This window comes from Homo sapiens, chromosome 4 (assembly GCF_000001405.40).
Source record: "Homo sapiens chromosome 4, GRCh38.p14 Primary Assembly".
In the NCBI taxonomy this organism is placed as follows: Eukaryota; Metazoa; Chordata; class Mammalia; order Primates; family Hominidae; genus Homo; species Homo sapiens.
The window spans coordinates 172,338,110-172,361,659 of NC_000004.12; the positions used below are offsets into that span (position 1 = coordinate 172,338,110).

The window sequence follows — 23,550 nt, forward strand, 5'->3', positions numbered from 1 at the left end:
TAATTCTAGAAGCTCTGGTTATTTTTTTAAGATGTTAATCTCTTCCTTCATTTATTGGCTTTCTTTGGAAGTTTATTTGTGTTGATTTTCAACCTTGTCTTGAATATCATTCATCTTCCTTGCAATCCAATTCTTTATCTGCCATTTTGGGGTTTCTATTTTGGTTAGGGAATATTGCTAGAGAGTGAGCGTGATCCTTTCATGCTGTCACAATGTTCAGATTTTTTTTTTTCTGGTGCCCAAAATTCTAATGCTGGCTCCTTTTCATCTGGAGATCCTGGCACTTCTAATTTGTGTAATTATTTTTGTGTGAATCGGATTTTTTTTCTCTCTTTCCCTATAATGTTGATTTCTGTTCTTTCCCTCTACCCCCTTCCTGGGGGGTATGACTGTAGAGAATGTTGGATAGGGTCTTTTGGCTTTGTTTCTTCACCCAACTTCTGTTGGGTGGTTTTATATTGGGCCATGCAGTTCAAGCTCCGGGCCAGTAGATATCACTTCTGGGTAAAAGCCAGCTGTGGCCAATGTGGCTGGGTACATATATTTGAACCTTGTTTACTGCGAGATATTGCCTGAGACAATGGACTGATTCTTGGAATACATAATGGCCTGAGCTCCTTGCTCAGCTGTAGGGGTGAGCCAAGATGGACAGGGGCAAGCCAGGCAGGTCTGCCTAAAGGTTACCTGAAGGGAGAATTGAGGGCGCAGCCACCAAGCACCAAGAAATGTGCCTACGACTGGCGCTGGGAAACCTCTTGAGTGGTAACTTCTCTGCCCAGGGAGGGAGGGCAGCCTAAACTCCTAATCCAGGAGAGTGGATGTTTTATAAGCTTGGAGATCTGTCCAGGCATGGAGGGGAGAGGGCCTCACTTCACATGGTCTCTCCACAGAAATGGTGGACACTCAGGCTGTTGATATGGGTGAGTGAGTGCTCTGAATGCCTGGAGATCTGCCTGGGCATAAAACAGAGAGTGCTTTGCTGCACTGTGGTCTCTGCGTAAGAACGATGGGACAGATCAGACTGTTAATCCAGGTGAGCATGTTCTCTGAATGTCTGGAGATATGCCTGGGCATGGAGTAGAGAGGACCCCTCTGTACCTTCATCTCAGGGGAGCAGGCTGGGGCACCCAGCAAACACACACACACACCACACACACACACACACACACACACACACACACACACACACACACACACACACACACAGAGTTTCCAGGTCACCAAGTTGGTTTCTTCTCACCCAGGAGAAATCATGGCTACAGTAGTTCTTCTCTTGCCCTAGACCTGTGGCAAGGGGAGGGTACAATTCCAGTGCCTACTCCTGGGGCACTTTCTACATTTCCTGCTCAATTCTGGCTCTGGAGGCTCCTACCAAACTCCAGAGCAAGCACTCCAATCGCTGGCCTGAGACTAAAATACCTGTGTAGTCACACTGTTGGGTTGCCGAAGAGTGACTGACTCTGTATGCTCCTGGATTAAAAATGGCATCCTGCTTTCAACTCCAGTCGGGGAAAATGCTGCAACTTTTCCCAATGTCTTTCCCTCTGAGTTTCTCCAAGCCTCTCCCCAAGTTAGCTCCAAAGCTGGGAGAAACAAAGGGCTCTCCCTTGGCCTGGACAAATCCCCAGTGGAAAGGTGAGTCACAAAGGAAAACTCTCTGCCCCTCTCATGTATTGAGACTTGACTCACTTTTGACAGCCAGATGCTGACACGGGGGCTGTTTGCACATGGTCTTCTTTTTGGGATCTGGGGTGTCCTTCACAATTCCAGTAGATTCCCATTTTTCTTCTTGAATTAAAGTTCACAGCATTGATCTTTATGCACTGTTTTGCTGTTTCTCTGTGGCTGAGGCCATCTTGAAACAACAACAAAACTTTCTTTTTTATATTGAATTGTTCTAGCTAGGATTGATAATCCTATGTTGAATAGGAGTCTCAAAATTAAGTATCTTTGTCTTGTTCCTGATCTTAGAGGAAAAGCTTTCAATTTTTCATAATTGCATATAATATTAGCTGTGGGCTTTTTATATATGGCATGTATTAAGTTGAATTAATTTTCTTTTATTTCTAGTTTGTGAGAGTCTTTAACTTAAAAATGTGTCTATTTCGTCAAATACTTTCTCTGCATCTATTGAGATGATCATGTGGTTTTATGATTTTATTTTGTTAATATAGTGCATCACATTCATTAATTTTCATATATTGAACCACCCTTGCATCCCAGGGATAAGTCCAGCTTGATTATGGTGTATGATCATTTTAATGTTCTGTTGAAGTTAGTTTGCTGGTATTTTACTCAGGATTCTTGCATCTATGTTCATCAGAGATATTGGCCTATAGTTTTTCTTTCTTGTGGTGTCTTTGCCCATCTTTGACATCAGGGTAGCGCTGGCCTCATAAAATGAGTTTTGAAGTGTATGGTTGTCAATTTTTATTTGGTATCAGACATTGTGATTTTACCTTCAAAGGTGAAAAATATTTTGTATTACTATAAATATTATTGAGCTTTGTTACATAATGAATTTAAGTTATGTGAAAACAGTTTGATACTATAAGATCTTGCTTTTAAGCTAAGTTGGATCAGAGCTATATTTAGGCTAGGGATAATTTGCCACCCTGCTGAGATAAAACCCGTCTAACTCTTTCCATACTCCACCTAATTCTCCATAAGCATTAGTTTTTACCCTATATGAATGATAGGTATTGTTTCCTCTAATCCATTCTTGGGTTTTATTCTCCAGATAAGGGTTGTTCCTTTGTATGCTTGCACTGATCAGCGCTTAGCTGAAGATGTGAGGAGGACTCTGCAGATCCCCTGAGTTCTGTGTACAGCTCATTCCTTTAGAGTGCTCTATCTTGCAAACTCTAGCCACCTTGGTCGCCTGGACTCTTGGCTCCATTTTCTTATCTTAGGGAGATCATTTGGATCTGCCTGTGTTTCTCTTAAATTCACCATGCCCTGGAATCTCAGGCTAGAGTGTAAGCAGGGGAAATTGTATCCTGTTTCTGAAAGCCACTATTGTTTGTTGCTTGATATTCAATGCCTTGAAAATAATTGTTTCATATTCAAAAATGTAGTTGTCCTGTAATCCCAGCACTTTGGGAGGCCGAGGCGGGCGGATCACGAGGTCAGGAGATCGAGACCATCCCGGCTAAAACGGTGAAACCCCGTCTCTACTAAAAATACAAAAAATTAGCCGGGCGTAGTGGCGGGCGCCTGTAGTCCCAGCTACTTGGGAGGCTGAGGCAGGAGAATGGCGTGAACCCGGGAGGCGGAGCTTGCAGTGAGCCGAGATCCCGCCACTGCACTCCAGCCTGGGCGACAGAGCGAGACTCCGTCTCAAAAAAAAAAAAAAAAAAAAAAAAAAATGTAGTTGTTTAGTTGGTAATATGGTTTGGCTCTATGTCCCCACCCAAATCTCATCTTGTAGCTCCCATAATTCCCACGTGTTGTGGGGAGGGACCTGGTTGGAGATGATGGAATCATGGGGGTGGGTCTTTCTTGTGCTGTTCTGGTGATAGTGAATGGGTATCACGAGATCTAATGGTGTGAAAAACAGGAGTTTCTCTGCACAGGCTCTCCTTTTGCCTGCTGCCATCCATGTAAGATATTGACTTGCTCCTCCTTCCCTCCCTCCATGATTGTGAAGCTTCCCCAACCATACGGAACAGTAAGTCCAATTAAACCTCTTTCTTTTATAAATTGCCTAGTCTCGGGTATGTCTTTATCAGCACCATGAAAACAGACTAATACAGTTGAATCAAGTAGAAAGGTAAATATGGTCCTTATTAGTACATTTGACTAAAAGGAAATCTCAAATATAATTTTACCTAGACATAATATTTGATAGAAATAGCAAAAATCTGTATTATTATTTAAATATGCAAAACCAATATAGGAATATTGTGCATAGTGGACACTATTTCTACTTATTTTAGCCACCTGATAATATAATATTAGTGGCTGTTAGAGCCTCTATTCACATGACAGTTCATCATAAATTTTTTGTGATGGGTATTTTGTCACACATTTTATTGAACGGTTTATCTACAAAAATATTTATGGAGGATAGAGCATACATCTCACAAAAACGTTTGAGCTAATCAAGTAATTGCCTACCCCTCCTTAAAATATTATAGTATTTATATAATTTAATTAATTTAATTAGTATAAAGATGCCTTAAAGGGCCAATGATAGAATGACATTTCCAAAAGATTATGTAATCAAAAGTGAAGAATGCTGGATTCTTATTCGTTGCTCGTGTTACCTCCTGTGTAGGCTATAATTACTGAATTTTCAGAAAAGCTATAAACTTCTTAGTTCAGGAACAGTGCCTCATCATTGTATCACTTTTTTACCCAGTACAATGCCTTTCCAATTAGATTGTAAAATAATTTATGTTTAACTCTCTAAAACTCTGTCTCAATTCTCAATTAAATGGGGGGCTTAACTGGATGATTTCTTAAATGTGGTTGCAGCTCTAATATCCTCTGTTGTCATGCTTCTATGGATGTGGGACTGTAAATATTCTGTTTTTCATCTGTGAAGAAATTGAATCTCTTTCATTTTTCCATTAAATTTTGTCCAACAAGTAAAATGTTCTTTTCTTGTTTTGTTCTAAAGAAGGCAGAAGACTAAAATGATTGATTTCGCTAGTGTCATTTGCCAAATGTTTCTGACTCTATTCCTTCTGTACAATATGAGACTGCACATTCTAGGCCCCTGGGCTGCATGACTAGTTCTGACCAATGAGCTGTAAGCAGACAGCAATGTGCCATTTTAGGGATACATCATCTAATTACTAGCTTGATACCCATCAGTGTTCTCATTTATATCTACCACAATGATTGACAGTGATCAAGATGTTGGCTATTTCTGCTAAGCACAGTGAGCAGAGACCCTCCTTCCAACTAGTGTTGAACAGGTAAAGGAAGCAAAAAAGGGAATAGTTATTATTTTAAGTCATTGAAATTTGGGGGTGGTCATTACCACCATATAACCTCCTGACTATTGTTATAAGTAAAACAAAAAACAAACAAACAAAACAAAACAAAAAATAAAGCCATACTTTGAATAAGCTAACAGAATGATCTAAAGATTGAAATATTCAAACATTTTACTCAAAAGCTGCAATCCCAGAGTTAGAACTTTTTAAATGTGAGTTGTAACACCCTTTCCAAAACAAAATACACAACAATAGGCAGCGAGAAGTAATGTTTAAGTGATGGTGAAGAATACATGAAAGTTTTAAGATCTCCAAATGAAAATTAACCTAAATGCCTGTAATATAAACATTGACATTGTTGCATATGTACTAAAGTATCTCTTTTAGACAAAAATAAGTCACTGATAAGTCTGGTACTTATTTCAAGTATTTGTAATTAAAATTTATTTTGTGGCCTTTTTTATTGTTGAAAAAACCACTTATTTTAATAAAATCAATGAAATAAAAAAGATAAATTAGTGTAACCATGAAAAGAATAAATGTTAAGTATGTGTTAAACAATACTGTTGAACTGTATTTTAAAAATCTCTCAGTTTAGCAAATGCCAATATAAAAAATCAGAAAACGTTTATGTATTCTGTTTTGGAAAAACAGAAGAATATGAGAAAATTTGCCATTGAAGTTTCATTACTGTGAAAGACTTAGCAGAATGTTTACAAAATAATTTGGATTTTTTTTTTGGATTTTTAAATGCCTTCACGACTTGTCATTTCTCTCAAGTAAATTTTTAAATAATTTAAACTATTTCTTTTGTCTTCTTGGTGCTTTTAAAATTTGAAGAATTAGTTTTTATCCATTTATATAAACTGTTACTCAACAAAGAGATGTCCTTACCTCTGAGCCATTCCTAAACTGCAAGGTAATTTTATGCAAATGCTTATCTGAAAATAATACAGCAATAAGAAATGCAGTAATTACACCCATATTCCTAGAAACCTATTTCAACACGTTTTAGTTTGTCCCTATTTTCTTATTCTATTTGTGAATTTGCTGTGCATTTGTAACCATAAAAAGCATACAAATTGTGTTTGACTTTATTTTACTTATTAAAGTCAGTTCCATATTGGTACATCATCTTCATATTTGTAAACTTTTATTCTCAACCTGACTTGACATTAAACCTAAAATATGCAGGTGCAGAGCCTAAATAAAGCCCTGGATGTGCTTCACTATTTCTAGTAATACTATAGGGCAGTCATCTGGATCACAACTTCTTGAATCCAATGCCTGAGCTTGGCAGTGATTCAATTTTTCTTTGGAGCAGCTCAAGTGCTAGAATGACCGAATAAAATTCAATCAGATTAAGTGCTTTTACAAAGGAGCTGGCTTTCCTTAGAGTGAAAATCAGATCTGCACCCTCATTATTTTTTGCTAGAATTATTACAAGGGCTAATCTTTCTGCTTCTACTCTTTGCCATCTGCAACACATTGTCTGCCCTGCTGCCAGAGGAATATGTAAACACGATCCGGTCTTGTGATTAACAATATTTGAAGTACTTCATGTTGACTGCAGGCTAACATCCAAATTCCTTAGAATCATTTTCAAGATTCTTCATGATCTGTTCTCAATGTACAGACTCATTGATAAAGACGTCCTTAATTCTATCAGACAAAGTTAGTCACACTTCCTTCAGGCTCTCAATGTCTGTGTGCCATCTATTATGTCACTTGTCTTGTTTGAGTCTAATCATTTTATATATCTGCTCACTGGTCTGTGAACCCTTAAGGGAAGAGACTGAAATGTATTCATCTTTGTATCCTAAATGTCTCTCACTGTCTCTTCTGCAGTTCCTGTCTTTCCTAGTTCCACGTCTTCTTCCACAGAGGATTTGACAATGAAATAATACAGTGTAAACAACAATGACCGTAATAATGACAGTATTTATTAAACCCCTGCTATTATTAGATATGATGCTATATGAAGTACGTTACATAGATGTCCCAATTAATTCTCCTTAGCACATTATGAAGAGGTATTGTTTTTTTTTTTTTTTGCTCCCACATTATCCTCTGTGAGAAAATTAATCTTATAGAGGGTAAATAACTTGCCCATTGTCACACAGGCAGTAAATGGCAAAGCTATCATTTGAACCTAGTCTGATCTATAAAGTGTGGTGTGACTTTCCAATATTTGATACATAATCATCAGGCATGAAATAGTAAGGAGTTTATAATGTAGTCTAATTGAAAAATAAGTTACAGATATCAATGTAAAAAGGCAATGTTACTACTAATAATCAACTAATTAGGATGAGACCATTTTTATGTATCCACTGTAATGTCTTGATAGTTGTGTTTCATAGGCCTAGAGATGTCTCTGAGTAGAGCACCAGTAATAATTCAAAAGCTGAAAGAAGTAATGAAATGCATGTGTGATAATCGTTTTTTAAAAACTTATTTAAAAGTATTTCCAAGTATAACAAACTGCAGCCTTCCTAACTGAACATAAATAAGAGTGTTGCCTATTTGACCAGCACATTGATCAAAGTGAATCTTGACCAGGGTATTGATTTAAGAGACTGTTCCAAAGAGACTATACCAAATGAGGTATAACTTATTTGCCTATGTCTAAGTTTAGGTTCCTCTAGAAGCAAACCCTGAAACAAAAATTTGACTATAATAGTGTTTAGGAGGTAATCACAGAATGTAGAGTGGTGCGGTTCAGGGAATGTGAGAAAGGAAGACAGAAAAGGGAAAGTAGCCAGTAAAAGATGCATTGTCAAACTGCTGATCACTGTGGGCAACCGAGGTGTAATCCTGCTAGGAAACTATGGGAGACAATATGGAACATACCTCAGGGTTATCCCACCATACGACTATTTATTCTCTAACTTCCATTATTTGTTGGTTGATACTTGTTCTAGGGGAATTAATTTTTCCCAGAACTTCTGATCTGCCCTTTGTGCAGAGATGAGAGAAAGTACTCACTTTGCTATCTGCAGAGATGTATAATAGGACCCTCTTGGCTTATACTGGAATGGTGAGTGCTAAGGAGACATTGATGTGCCAGCATCATCTGCTAGAGCTTATCTCTCATGAGCCTGTTCCTCCAGCAAAATAGATTTTTACCTTGAGCTACACACCCACATATATATAGATAGACATATAAATTGACAGATAGATGTGTATATGATATATGAAAGCTACGTTCCAACTGGATGTCGTTTTGACGTCTCAACAGTACATGGTCAAAATTGAATTCATTATCGTTGCTCTCATTATTTGAAACCTTCAATATGTCCCTCACACAGGCTCCTATGTCATTCTGTATTTCATCTGATCAGTTGCCCATGTCCAAAACGTAAGAGTCCTCTTTAGTCACTTCTCCTAGTTACCAAGTCGTGTGAATTCTCTTTCTACATAGATCTTGAACCTGTCCTCTGCAGGCCACCTTCAATTCTCACTTGAATTTCTACAACATTTTCCAAATTGGCTTATGGGCCTCTCTCAAATAATCTTATAGCACTCTATTAATCTTCTACACTATCCATTTCATTTTAAAATTGTAACTATTTGTCTTTCTGTATCTCTCATTATAATATAAATGTCTTGAAGTTCAGAACTAGATTTTGTTCATTGTTTTATCTCAACTTTGGAGCCTGGCCTATATCAAACCTTCAGTAAATTACTGTGACATGAGTGAATGAATGAATGAATAGAATGGATCCTTTTATATTTCATGTGTACTAGTAATTTGATAGTAATTTGAGCTCAGGCACATAGAAATTATTGAAAACATTTCAAAAGAGAAAGCCTTTGTCACACATGATTGGTCTTGCATTCTTTTTTGTCTACCCTTTCTCTGATTGGATTGTATATGACTCTGAAAAGTCATGAGCCTATTGATTTTTTTCTTTTCTTTTGTTTTCTTTCTTTTTTTTTTTTTTTTTTTGAGACAGTCTCACTCTGTCACCCAGGCTGGACTGTGCAGTGGTGCAATCTCATCTCACTGCAATCTCTGCCTCCTGGGTTCAAGCGATTCTTTTGCCTCAGCCAGCTGAGTAGCTAGGATGACAGGCGTGTGCCACCATACCTGGCTAATATTTGTATTTTTGGTAGAGATGGGGTTTTGCTATGTTGCCCAGGCTGATCTTGAACTCCAGGACTCAAGTGATCCTCCCACCTTGGCCTCCCAAAGTGCCGGGATTGCAGCCATGAGCCACTGTGCCTGGCCCCTATTGATGGGTTATAGGATATTACTCTGAATGCAATTCCTCTTTAATTAATAGACAAGTAATATGTACAATAGCTTGTCCTAATGTTTAAAAAACAATTGGCTTCATTGGGGATATCACCTTCATTCTAAGAACACTGTGAAGTGTAATGGTTCTCACAAGTAGGTGCAACATTCTGAATATTGATGTATCAAAGCACAATTAGTTGGGCTCTTTGACTTTGTTCAGAAGAATCAATGGCTCTGCATAATTATGACCAGGTATGCTGAATTTCATTAACACTATTTTCCAGATCTGTGAATTATAAGCAAAACATCTATCTTACTACACTCCCATGGAAATTACTGACAAATCTTTGTCATATTATATATATTTTTTGACATTTATCCTAAAATGAATTTCATGTTTTTACACATTTTTGTGCCCATATCATTATAATTTTGATGGGTTTTCAGACACTTTTCATTGTCTGAATATGTCAAAATTTACTTGTTTAATGAATATTGTTAAAAATAATAAATTATTAGGTTAAATAATGAATAAAGGAATACAATTTTAAAAATACTTCTTTTTCATCTTCTCAGATGGTTCCAACAATGAAAAAAATGAACTTGAGATTTCTTTTTAGAGTTTTCACTGGGACTATGATAACATCTTGATTTGGATCTTAATTTAATCTTATTATGTGGTTGTGCTCAGTTAACAGTTATTTTAAATTGAATTTTAATTTATTCTGTTTAGAAGCTACAGTTGTTTTTCCCTTCAGGCTTTAAATACTGTCCAGCCATTGAAACACTCCATGACTAAAACTGACTAATTAAACATAAATATTACAGAAGTTAAATTTTTAGATATCTTCAGGAAGTCCATCTAAACCTTAATTATGTGCTCCATGGAAACAGTTTTAATGCATATTACTCATCCTTATTTCTATTATATAACAACAGGAAAAATGTACATCAACAAGAGCACAACATTTCAAAAACTGACAAATTTGAAACCCTGATACCAGAGGATAAAACAGTTGTTTCATTAAGAGTGAGTGTGAAAGGAGATCATTAATGCATTCCGTGAAGGAGCAGGATAACAATCATGCTGTACAAACTCTGGTTGGAAAGTATTAGACTAAGTCGTGTTTCCACAGTTGTCTGATAACATAATGAATAAACAACAGAATAAGATATACAAGAGTTTTGTATTTGACACACCATTTTCTTTTCCCTCATCTCCAGCTGTAAGCATAAGATGTATCTGGAAAGGCTGCCAAACACCAGCATCATTATCCCATTTCATAATGAAGGTTGGACTTCACTCCTGCGGACCATACACAGTATAATTAACCGAACCCCAGGGAGTCTGATAGCAGAAATCATTCTAGTAGATGACTTCAGTGAGAGAGGTAAGATACAGTTGATAACATTTTATCTGATTCTGCTACCATTCACATAATCATTAAGGACTTTTTAAAAAAGACAATGGGAGCTTCTTTCTGATTCCATCTGAAAGGTGATTATGAAGTTTTATCTATGTTGTGATTTCGTAAAATATTCACCAAATGCAAAAGAAACTTAATGAGAAGCTATAGGTTTCATTTGGGAATCTGTAAGAAATTTGCATTACAATCTCTGTTGCAAATTAGGTGTTGGCAAAATGCCTCAAATTCTACTTTCAGCTTCAGGACCAACACTGTAAAATATATTATTGTAAGTACATATGAATGGTAAAATATTTGAGTTAGAACTATAAAATTTGTTCCTATTTCTGAAAAGTATCTACTCTATTATTTACCAGTATGACACATACTCCAGGCTGTGCTTGTGTTACTTCATAAATATTAGAAACTATAAGGGACACAGGTACATATTTTTACTTGGTAATTCTAGCTATTTTATCTATCTGAACAATAACAGAAACAATCTAGTGTAATAGTATCTTACAAAATTTAGCATAAGTTTTAATACTTTTATAATTTTATATTTACCTTATAAAAATTTTATAATTTTGTAATTTACTTTCTATTGTATGAATATACTATAAAGTGCATTTTATAATTTACCTTATATTTTATTGCACGAAGGAGCTACACTTAACTGTATATCTGTTAGAAAGAATGACAGTAAAATATTTTGATTGAATATTATTCTTATGTCTCAAAAGAGAATACAACTTGAGATCACATGGGTTAATGAAGTTTTGGAAGTTTTAATTGAAGTTAATTTGAAGTTTTGGAAATGTTATTTGTCACAGAAACATCTTTTTTTCATAGTATTCAAAAATTCTGCAAAAGATAGACTGCTTGGTGTGCTAATTGTGAAGTTTCTTTGACAGAGGTAGTCAGTTAAAATACTGGTCTTTATACACTTCTTTTAAATACTGATTCAGAGGTTGCCTAGTATCTATATATACTGGGACTTACATGACAGAAAGGAGGTTGTTTGACACTACACTATTAATATGGCGGAGATTGCAGTGAGCTGAGATCGCACCACTGAACTCCAGCCTGGGTGACAGAGCGAGACTTCGTCTCAAATTAAAAAAAAATATATATATATATATTTTTTTTAAACTATCAACCTGGTCATTTTAGGTTTGATTTTAAAGAGGTTTTTGTCTCGTGTTGCATAGGTAGGCATGCATTTAATACTACCTAATAAGAGCCACTGTCTAAAACTGAAATTTGCAGATTTTTGAAAAACAATGTAAATGGCATATTCACTTTTTTATTCTAATTGAGGTTACTATTTCAAAGCAGTCATCATTATTACCTCAGGCTAAAGATAGGTACTTAATGTGTTAATAAAACGTTGACTTCAAAAAGTGAAAAAGGTGATAAAGATCTGAGGCTGCAGATTGCCAAGTGAATAGTCTTTGTGATTGACTGGTACTAGGAGAAATAGGCCAGTGTAACTTTTGATTATCTTGGTAAACTATTTATTATAGTAGAATTTTGAACTGGTGGGTAATAGAGTGAGAAACACTTGGTAGCAGAAAATTATGGTTTGTAGAACATTTCTTGTTAAATATTTCTCAGAGGTATTTTTCAGTTGAAAGCCTTTGAAAAGGTTGAAAATACTGGCACCTACATTTTCTTGGTTCCAAATCACTGTCACCTTTGGTACAGTAGCAACTTTGGTGGACTATGTTTCTGTATGTCATGTTAGATGGGAAGAAAGTAGACTGTCAATGTAATTAGTGTTAGTGAAAGGGGATAACAGAAAATGGATAATTTAGGAACAGTAATGGTGATTTTTGAATTTCCTAATGGACATTTCTAAGGATAATCATTACTTTAACGCTTAGGTAAAACTTTCATTGAGATATTCTATTCTTATGAGCAATCAAATTGAAAGTATAATTTTATAATCAAATGCAAAAGTAAATTTTGAAAGAAATAGGTGATAAAATGCTTCTATAATCTTTTATAATACATCATAATTTTTAAATTATATAAACTAGGAAAGACTCTTTTTCCAAATTTTTGCTTTGGATTATGAAAATCTCATCTGAGAGTATTGGTTGATGTACATTAGCACTTGAGTGGACTTAGGAGCATCACTCCTCCTTTCTGAATTATGAGAACTATAAATAATTAATGTAATGAACACAGGTCAGAATCCCAACATCAACTATTAAGTGTACGACATTTGGTAAATTAACTTTCTCTGAGTGTCTCTGTTTATCAAAATGAGAATGATAGTGACTCTTCATGGAGAGGTTATGATGGAGGGCCGCCATGGATGTTTCAGTGAATTGTGTGCTCATGGGAGAGCGATTGCTCTCAGCTATTGATTTCTACTCACCAAATACTCTACTACTACTATAGTATAAATGTCTATACTTTCTGGAGAAGAGATTCTCTTAATTTAATCAAATGTGATCCACAATAATCTGTCTATCTATCTATCTATCTATCTATCTATCTATCTATCTATCTATCTACCTCTTTACTGATTTATTTATCTCCAGAATCAACAGAAGAATTCATTTAGTGGCCATTTAAGGAGTTATCATGGTAATTTATATTTGGAGAAATTAGGACTGCCTTAACATTTAAAACATCTCCAATATGGCCAATAAGCTACTATAAGCATTGAAGTAAAATAAAATTCTGAGAATTTAATCAATAAGGAGATTATGTTATCTATCTAAATTATATGCATGGCCTTAGAAGAGTGTTTAGCAGAATCCTTTTCAAGATTGTTTTTACTATTAGAAGAAAAGGAAGATACCCCTAGACATCACTTGTTTACAGGGCCTCTAAGAGAGAAAAACTTTTTCTACTCCTTTTTATTCTGATGCATCTGTAGCTGTGCTGTTAAAAGCTATAATTAACTTATACTTTTCTTAGAAAATTCCCCAAAGCTACAACCCTATAGTGTGTAGAGTTCTTTTCACCAACTCTTTAAAAATCAGATTAAGTAGGATAGATAAATTTGAAAATACAGGAAGATATAGGAATTCTGTTGGATTCCTTTAGGAAGTTTTTTTGTTTGTTTTACACTTTAAATTTACTTTTAGAAATACATCCCAATTTCATTTCTGTTCAGTATTTGCACTATTTACCACCTTTGCACTATTAACTTTTTCAGATACTCTACAAGATCCTTTGGCCAAAAGCACTAAACTTTAACAAGACTTAATCAAATATTACTCCCTTATATTTTACATCCTCCAGGTCAATAGAACAGCTATACATGAACAAAAATACAAGAAAGCCAATATTTTAGACATGTCATTAGCATGAGCCACTTGCTGATTACTTAGAATGCATATTTACAACAAATATAAGTATATAGTAATTGTTAAATTCTGTAATAGTGGGTTTCATATCAATAAAGTAAAATACTAAAATATTAGATAATCACAGAATAATGCTAACTATTACCAAGTGATTTAGAAAAATCTGCTTAAATAAGATTGACCTAGTTCTCAAAATGCTTTAAAAAAAGTGCATATTCCATCTTGCAGTTCTCAGTTTAGACATTTTCCTAAAGCAAGCTTGGTAACAGAATGTCATTTTAGCCTCAGAACATAAGTCCACCATCTATAAAACATGAAGGTAAAGGCCTGCAGGTAAGTTTTCAACAACCACCACTGTGTTTTGCTATCTGAAGCTTACCAAAGTTAGTGAATGTGGCTATTTTCTTTTTTTCCAGTAAGCTCTGAGAAATACATTTAACAACTTAACTTGAGGCCTATAACAAGGCTTCATGGTGACTTTAAAGCAGGACTAATCCTGGGCTTATCTCCAAATTCCAGGCAACCTTAACGGCATCCACATGGAAAATGTTGAAATGTGTGAAATGGGCTGGGGCTTAACCTCAGAGATAGGGTATATTTGAACTTGACAGTTCCCTGAACTTTGCATGCTTAGATGAATGCAAGTCTAAATTGAGGATAGTCGCAGGAGAGTTGCTGACACACTTTCCTTAATGCAAGTATGGAGGCACTGCTGTATACCCGAGTATGCACACACAAACAGAGGCACACAGGCGCACACTCACTCATTTCTGCTCCTGCTTGTTTCAAAGTTCCTGGACAGAAAAGGGAAGTAGTTGAATATTTGAGTTTCAGAAAGATCTGTTATTCTCCATGTACTATTTAGAAGGAAAAACAGACTTGAAACTATCCTCCCAATGCCAACAACTTTCAAGAAATCCAGCTTACTTTTGCTTAGACAGCCCGCACTCCTACTATCCAAATTGTGGTGCATGGACCAGCAGCAGCAGCTTGAAGCTTGCTAGAAATGCAGACTCTCAGTCCTCACCAGATGAATCAGAATCTGCATTTCAACAGGATCTATGTGTACTTTCTATAGGAATTAAAGTTTCAAAATCACTGTCATGCATTTTAAAATTGGGGTTGAATGGCCAGGCACAGTGGCTCACACCTGTAATCCCAGCACTTTGGGAGGCTGAGACAGGATAATTGCTTGAACCTGGAAGATGGAGGTTGCAGTGAGCCAAGATCGTGCCACTGCACTCTAGCCTGGGTGTCAGAGCAAAACTCTGTCCCAAAAGTTGAAGCTTCAGTGAATAATATGGGTGCAATAAGTAACTTCAAAAATCTCCTGTTTCTTACATGTTATTACAAAATAAATTTTGCTGTTTGTTTATACTATTTAGTGTGCAATTAATATTGGATTTATAAGTTTGTAAAGGACATCGACAATATTTTATGTAACGTTAATTGTTATATTTCCTTGGTAGATATCGCCATTTTCCAAAAATTGTAGACATTTGCCTTGCTTTCTTGTGAACTCATTTTATAGCATTTGATGTTTAATTCCAATTTACTGTCATACCTCATCCCCTTGCCAATTTTCCCTTTTTGTTAAACAAATAATGTCTTTCAAAACTTTATAAATCTATTTTGCTTTGGAATCAGCCAATAGATTTTATGCCAAGTTCACAAGGAAAAAATATTATATATATATATGTGTATATACAATATGTATGTATACATACATATGTATGTGGAAATAGCAAAGCAATTCCTATAATGATCCACATTACCATTAAAAAATCCTAGACCCTTCACAGGGCTGAAAGTGTTTTTAAATCTTTAAAATAGCAGAGATATTTTTAATGATTTCACAAATGATGATGTCAAGTCTTGAATTCAATTTCTATTTTACACAAATAGTCTCCAAGTATACATTAAGGAAAGTTTCCATAAGCAGACAAATCAATCAGCACAAGTTTTACAACTATTCGAAGTTGGAAGATATCAGTGTGAAAAAGGTTGTAAAACCGAAGAAGAATGGTAGTGCCTTTTTATTTTATATTATACAATACTAACACTAAAGTGCATTTAAAGATTCTGAGACGACAGTCGACAAAAATGTTTTAGTGCTGGTATTCCATCAGGTACTTCACTAGATTATAAGACAAGCAATTTTTATGTCTCAGATTTATTGAGAGCTAGTCACTCTAAATAAATCTTGGAGTTATTTAGATTTAATATTCGTATTTAAAATGGTGAGGATAATTGCGTTTAAAAAAATCAAACTACAATATCAAACCAAATACTGTTTAGTAGCAGGAACTAAGCAAATGTTAAAAATATAACAGTATATTTAGAAATTCAAGATTATATGCCAAAGAATGGAAAGGAGCTATTCTGCTTTCTGATATTTGTATATCGTGTTGCATAAAAGTTAAATGTGCAGATTGTCCTAATGGCTCTGTTAACAAATTGCTTTAACATTTGTGAATGTAAGGGAATCTGGGACATTGAGCGACATTGCTCTCTGTGGTCAGATGTATGAACATACCACAGTAATGTGCAATCAATGTCAGGAAAATTATCCTACAACATAAAGGGGTAAAAGTTTGGGAAGTTACAAAATAAAAACTCAACTCATAAAAAGTCTTTGTGCATTCGTAAAAGATGGATATTACCCACCAGTAGCAGAATATGCTTGGAGTAGAATCTGTCTCAGAAGAAAAGCACTTTTGAGATTTCTCTCCCTCTTACTTGTAAATTAAAAATTCAGTCTCACTGGATGTTAATGTCTTCAGAAACAACAGAATTTATCTGACAAAAATAATGATAGTTATATATCCTTATTGAGTCTCACCTTTGCCTTCATGTTTATGGTAGCTTTGTATTGTCTCCTTTTTCTCCTGAAGTGCGAATGTGAATAATCTCTCAAGTGTTCAGGAATGCTACACACATTCACAAGCCTCATGCTTACTACTACAATACTTTATTTATTCTAGTAGAAATCTGTTTTAAGCAGGTGCTCATTTTGTAAATTAAGAAAAAGGATTTTGAGATACTATAGAAATATATATTTTTTCTTAATAAATTGCATTATGGATTAGCTTTTATAATGAGGGCATTGGTAGTCAGAACATTGCAAAAAGTTATTATGGAGATAATATCTTCTGTCTTCTAAAGAAAGTAATAATATATCTCAGTTAAAATTATTTTCAGTTTAATTATTTTAGGATTCACATTTAATTTACAAAGATATATTTGCTGAACCATGCAAATAGACATTTTTTATGTAGCTAGCTTTAACAAAAAAGAACTGTTAGAAGTGTTCTAATGTACGTTGTTTGAGAGAATGGCATTACGATGAAATACATGCAGGCTAATTTGAACATGCATATAAGAATTTTGGAAAATATGTGATAAAATGAAGTGATGGAATGGAAAGGCACAACCTAAGTTTCAATGTCTACCCTATATTAGGTTGTATCTTAGTTATCACATGTAGTATTACAGCAAATTCCACAGTAGAAAAAAATCTTATGCTTGCTTTCTTTTCTTTTATTGTAAAAGGTATGATGAGTACTAAATGAATGAAATAAGCAAAACATACTATTACTCGATTGTCTTTAAAATGTCTATATTGAAAAGTTTTCTGACTTAGTTAATTTGGGGCTTCTAAATGTTTACATTTGTCCTATGAGTAGCTTTTACATTTTTTAAGCATTTCATTTTGAAGAGATGATTAATCTCATTTAGTTGTCATTTTTCTAACTCACATTTCACTTTTTTGCAGTTTTGCTCTCTTCTCAAACATTAGTTTGTAGTATATGAAATTCCATTTTTTGTAGGACATTAATGGTTGACTTTGACAGTTTTCATATATTTCAATGTTTACGACCAAGCATCTTAAAATCTACCTACCTCTGGATGGAAAGTCTATCCTGGGCTCATGTTTTAAACTAATACTTTTAAAGGTAGAGAAAAGCATCAGGTGTTGGATAAGCTGCTCTGACTTTCCAACTGCTTTTTGTGTAGGAAAATTCCACATGGCTGAATTAATATGGGTTTGGCATAGAAGGAGACACTGCTTTTAGAAGCAAAACTGTTACAGCTCACCAACGTCACAAAGGCATGACTTCCTCAAGAAAAATAAATTGTGCAATTCATTTCATGGCAGATTAAATCCCATTTATTTTTCTTTCAGACAGCTGTTTTGAATAGAATGTCACCAGTGTGAAACCATTTTATGCATGTTGGGCTTCAGATCTTGGGCAGGCATAACTTTCTTTGATGAAATAAAAGGTTATGTTTTATGACTATTCCTCTTGTCAGCAAACCTCAGCATGTGAGCTTTAATAATGCAATGTTCAGTATTTCAAGCAGCTCTTTTTGATGTCTAAATATCCATCTGCTCTTAATTTAAAAAAAATCATTGCATCTACACAATGGAAAAAAGAAAACTTCACAAACATTTTCTCTTTTATCCTGAATTATAACACTTACTCAATAAAATAAAAATATCAATCTCTCAGCATTCAAGATTTTTCTTAAGCTGACAAGTTTTGAACATCAAATTCATCCATGTTTATGAAATGTGTTTTAACAAAATTCTCCCCTAATAAGAATTAAATGTTTTATGTCAACTGAGGAATAAATTCATATTAGAATAATAGGATCTTTGAGATGAGGGATTTGTAGGTGACATGGTACATTTGTAATATTTATAAATGAGTAAACAGCAACTGATAAAGATGAAGTCCTAAGTCACACAGTGGGTCAATTTTATATGCTTTGATAAATGCTAGTTTAATTTAAAATGTACAGTTTTCACAGTTAGGTATCCAAGGTTCCTTTCTTTGTAGTTTTCTCAGATGTTTTATTCTGAGAAACTGAAACAATTCTGATAACTATCATTAATTTAATAAAATGTACCACAATTATATAGACATTCTAGATAATTGAATCTAATTTATTACCCATTTTTCCTTAGGATCACAACAATAACAGAAACCATCATTTCACTATGTGTATACCCAAGTATTGAAATAGAGGATTCATGAGAATCATAATGACTTTAGCACACCAATTCCAGTCTCCATAATGGCCTTCCAGGACTGCAGGGGGCCAATCAGCGCCTTCCTCCTGGAGAAAACAGTGATTCTAAAGTTTGGAAAGGCTCTCAAAAGTAGTAAAATAGGTCATAAAACAGAGTTAAATATGTTTTATATAGCTTCACAGACTGATGTGCCGTAGAATTTATTGAGGTACTTAAATGGATTTTGGGCTGGCCCCTTGTGGGACATCTGATTCTGTCTTTATCCTGGAAAAAGTGTTAGGCAGCCTAGCAAGGCTGCTTTCCTTTACCCAAACCAAGGCACATTTGAGATTTCACAGGGCCATGCTGGTGCGAATGTCTCCAGAAGATAAGGGTCATTCTAGAAGAGAGAGAGGCTGGATTAAGGGTAGAGGAGGCATGGGAAGTTACTGGGCAAATGTCCAGCATTGGATTAGAGACTAATTAAATACACATCCTTTATTTTCTCATCTTTTTTCTGCCTGGCCTCTCAAAACGTAGATTGGGAAGACTATATGGAGAATATATGTATATATATATAGATATATACACACACACACACACACACACACACACACACACGGAATTCATATATATATGATGCTTTGTAAACTTGTGGCCATCTCACAACACAAAAAAACCTGACTGCAATATTGTAGTTCTGTAAAGAACTGCTTAATGCTAGCAACTGAGAGGCTAGTGGAGCAATGACGAAAGAAAATTTAATTTTATATCCTGAATAAACTCTAGCTCTATCACTTGACAGCTTCGACTTTTACATATAATACTTCTGCAAAATTATTAAGTCCATATCCAACTTAGTGGAGACACATTTTGAGTTTGAAATAAAATTTAAGCAATTCTTTTTTTGATTGGGTCCATGTTTTCGTCTGGTTTTGCCAAGTTGAAACTCTGCTTCTTAGAAAATAAATGAAAGTCTCTATGAAAAAAAGATTTTCCTTTTATTTGTCCATTTATCTGTCTATTTATTTATTTTACAATACTGAGTATTATAAAACCATAGACTCATGAGATAAGTAGAAATATAGTGAGTGGTTAAGAGCCTCAGCATTGGAGACAGAGAGTCTTGAATTCAAGTTCCAGCTCTGCCACTTACAGCCCTTGAGGCCTTGCAAAGAACTGGATATGAAGCTGGATTACAGAAACCAGGTATGATTTCACTATTAAGAAAAATATTTCAAGAAAAGGTATCACCAAACTAGAAAGGGTAGGAAAAATAAGTCCCCCAATATAGAGAAAAGACAGCAGGTTACTCATTACTGCTTTGCGTAAGTTCATGCTTGAAGGGCTAAACCAAGTTGGTCCAACCCATGGCCTGCAGGCCGCGTGCGGCCCAGGCTGGCTTTGAATATGACCCAACACAAATTCGTAGAGTTTCTTAAAACATTATGAGATTTTTTTTTGCAATTTTTGTTTTGTTTTGTTTTTAACTCATCAGCTATTATTAGTGTTAGTGTATTTTATGTGTGGCCCAAGACAATTTTTCTTCCAGTGTGGCCCAGGGAAGCCAAAAGATTGGATGCTCCTTGTCTGAACCATTGCAACATACTCAAAGAAAATGCAAAATTTACCTTTTAACCATGAATAATAATAGTCATGTAATTGTGATGAGGGAAATAACTGCCCAAGACTGCGGTCAGAAGAATAATTTCTATACATAGAAAAAGGCAAATTTTAGGTTCCAAACTTCAGTGTGCTTGTTTTTGACCTTTGGAAAAAATTCTAAAATAATGATGGCTATTAAAAAGTCAAAAAAAAAAAAAAAAAAAAAAAAACAGAGGCTGGTGAGGTTCAGAGAAAAGAGAGCACTTATACACTATTGGTAGGGGTGTAAATTAGTTCAACTATTGTGGAAAGCAGTGTGGCAATTTCCCAAAGACTTAAACACAGAACTACTATTTGACTCAGCAATTCCATTACTGGGTATGTACCCAAAGGAATATAAATCATTCTACCATGAAGACACATGCACACAAATGTTCACTGCAGCACTATTCACATTAGCAAAAACATGGAATCAACGTAAATGTCCATCAATGGCAGACTGGATAAAGAAAATGGGGTACATATACACTATGGAATACAATGCATCCATAAAAAAGAATGAGATCATATTCTTTGCTGGAACATAGATGGAGCTGGAGGCCATTATCCTTGGCAGACTAACATAGGAATAGAAACCAAATATCACACCTTCACACTTATAAGTGGGAACTTAATGATGAGAATACATCGGGGCCTACTTGAGGGTGAAGGGTGGGAGGAGGGACAGGATAAGAAAAAATAAATATTGGGTACTAGGCTTAGTACCTGGGTGATGAAATAATCTGTACAACAAATCCCTATGACATGAGTTTACTTATATAACAAACCTGCACATGTACCCCTGAAACGAAAATAAGAGTTAAAATGACATCAGTGTTTTTTTAAAGAATCAGAGAAGTAAGTACTATGAATCAGACTTGGTTTGTTAAGTTTTAGCCAAACATTACCCCTACTGGAGGTATGAATTTCAAGCTTAGATTCCCTTAAAACTGGGACTTTCCCCACCACCAGGGGTGATCTTAATTTAGCATCCCATCAAACTGCCCCATGGATCCCACATATAAGGCACATAGCTTTCTCCTGTAAAAAACATCTGGGGTTACCCCATATTGAATACAGGCACCAATCAGCCTATCCATCTACCCACTGACTAAAGCACTTCATTCTACTTCTCTGTGAAAGGTGAGACATGCATGATGAGTAGTGGCACCTCTACTCTAACAGAACCCAGGCTGAGTCCAAAAGATGCCCTGACATATGACTCTCAGCCCCATGGTAAGCTGACAGGAGTCCCTGAACATATTGTTTTTGCTAAATGTACAGTGTTGTGTTTTGCCTTGCTCCAGATCCCTTACACATCATTATAAAATCCAGAAGAGGGCCTAATGGCATGACTGCCCTGCTGACTTACTTAAGACCATAGGTGACATGGTTATCTAATAAAACCACATGGATTTCTTATTGCAAAAATGATCTATGACTCAAAAGAAGTCACATTGAGCAGCAAAGATTCAGGGATATATAATTCCAAGATCCACATCTACATTTAAATATCTGCAGCTCCTAAGTAGCAGGCAATAAGTTCCAATGGAGATACTGAAAGCTGTACGATCATAAATGATGTATACATTCTTATGTGTATACTTTCTTCTTATGAGAATGCTTTATCATCACAGCTGACCTGCAGTACCATTAAATAAGATTCACTTAATAATTATTACCTTGATTTTAGTCATATGTACCTAGGAAAGTATATTTTCATCTACAGTGGCATGACACATTTCAGAAGTGTCCCATAATTCTGTATTTACATAAAAAATGTTAAAAGAGATGCTGTAAACTCTTCTAATTTCTAGGGTACAGATAACTTATTCCTCCTAAATGAACGGTTTTATTGCTGAGTTGTATGAAGGCAATTTAGTAGTGACCACAGAACTGATGATTGACTTCTAAACTTGAATCAACACACATAGGGAAATCATGGGGTACCGTCTATGTAGGATGAGAAAAGAGGGAAATAATGGGAGAGGAAGACTACTTCTGTGCAGTCGATGTTGCACTTGACTGAATAACCTACACCACAACTGTTTGTGATTGTACTGCTCTTGTTAGAAAATGTAAGGTATTATTAGTATGTAGAAGTTGAAAGAGAATAGAAATGGCTACTTTCAATTATGTTTTCATTATATCAGACTTTCACCCAGAAGATAGGAAGTCTAATGTGTGAAATATTGCAAGTCCAGGTTTGAAGGCCAGAAGCAATTGCTTTCAAGTCCTGCACAGAAGTTTGCATTCAGCTTCTTCAGCTTGCTCCCTAATTTGCTTCCTCTATCTCTCCCTGTAATTGAAAAGTGTAAAGGAAACAACATACCTCCTTAGTTTAATATGTTAACACCTGATGATTAAGAATTGTGTGAAAAAGGGTACAGCAAATGAATGAATGATGATAAACGTTTCAACTTTTAGAAAAGTTCGCCACTCAATATATCTAAAATTGGTTTTTGCCAATTTCAGAATTCAGAAAGGTAATCTATTTTGTTAGTTTTAGTGAAAACTCAATTTATCCTATACAATAGTAAGTATTGTATGGTAAACTCAAGTCCTTACCAGTGTAGATCAAGAATGTGTCTTATTATTATTGAGTACTATGAAGGTCCTTTTTCCTGAGAGAAATTACAAGTCATCATTAGTGGCAGGTATAGAAAATATTATTTTCAAATTCTTTAATCCACTTTTCATTTTAGGATCAGGGAAGTCCTACAAGGGAGCTGAAGGCCAATGTACATAGCAAAACAAAAACAAAACAAAACAACAACAACAAATGCCACAGTATTTCACATTAATGCTGGGCCTCTTACTTTCCAAGGTTTGAAAAAGCTTATGGATTCTGGGTCTGTACTTAGCCTAAAAATCGAACCCAGGATAATAAGCTTTTTCCAAGGCAGTGCATGATGAATAATATCAGTGTATTCTATTCATTTTCAATGTCTGCAAACGGGGTTAACCC

At 35.2% G+C, this 23,550-nt stretch overlaps 1 protein-coding gene across 4 annotated transcripts in view; it reads left to right on the top strand.

The window, feature by feature from the left end:
- GALNTL6 (polypeptide N-acetylgalactosaminyltransferase like 6) overlaps window positions 1-23,550 on the top strand; it is a 1,228,156-nt gene that overhangs the window by 524,706 nt on the left and 679,900 nt on the right. For all 4 annotated transcript variants that reach the window (NM_001034845.3, XM_017008243.3, XM_017008244.3 and 1 more), the window contains one exon: window positions 10,414-10,580. In NM_001034845.3, coding sequence (NP_001030017.2) covers window positions 10,414-10,580 — 167 coding nt within the window. The remainder of the gene's footprint in view (window positions 1-10,413; window positions 10,581-23,550) is intronic.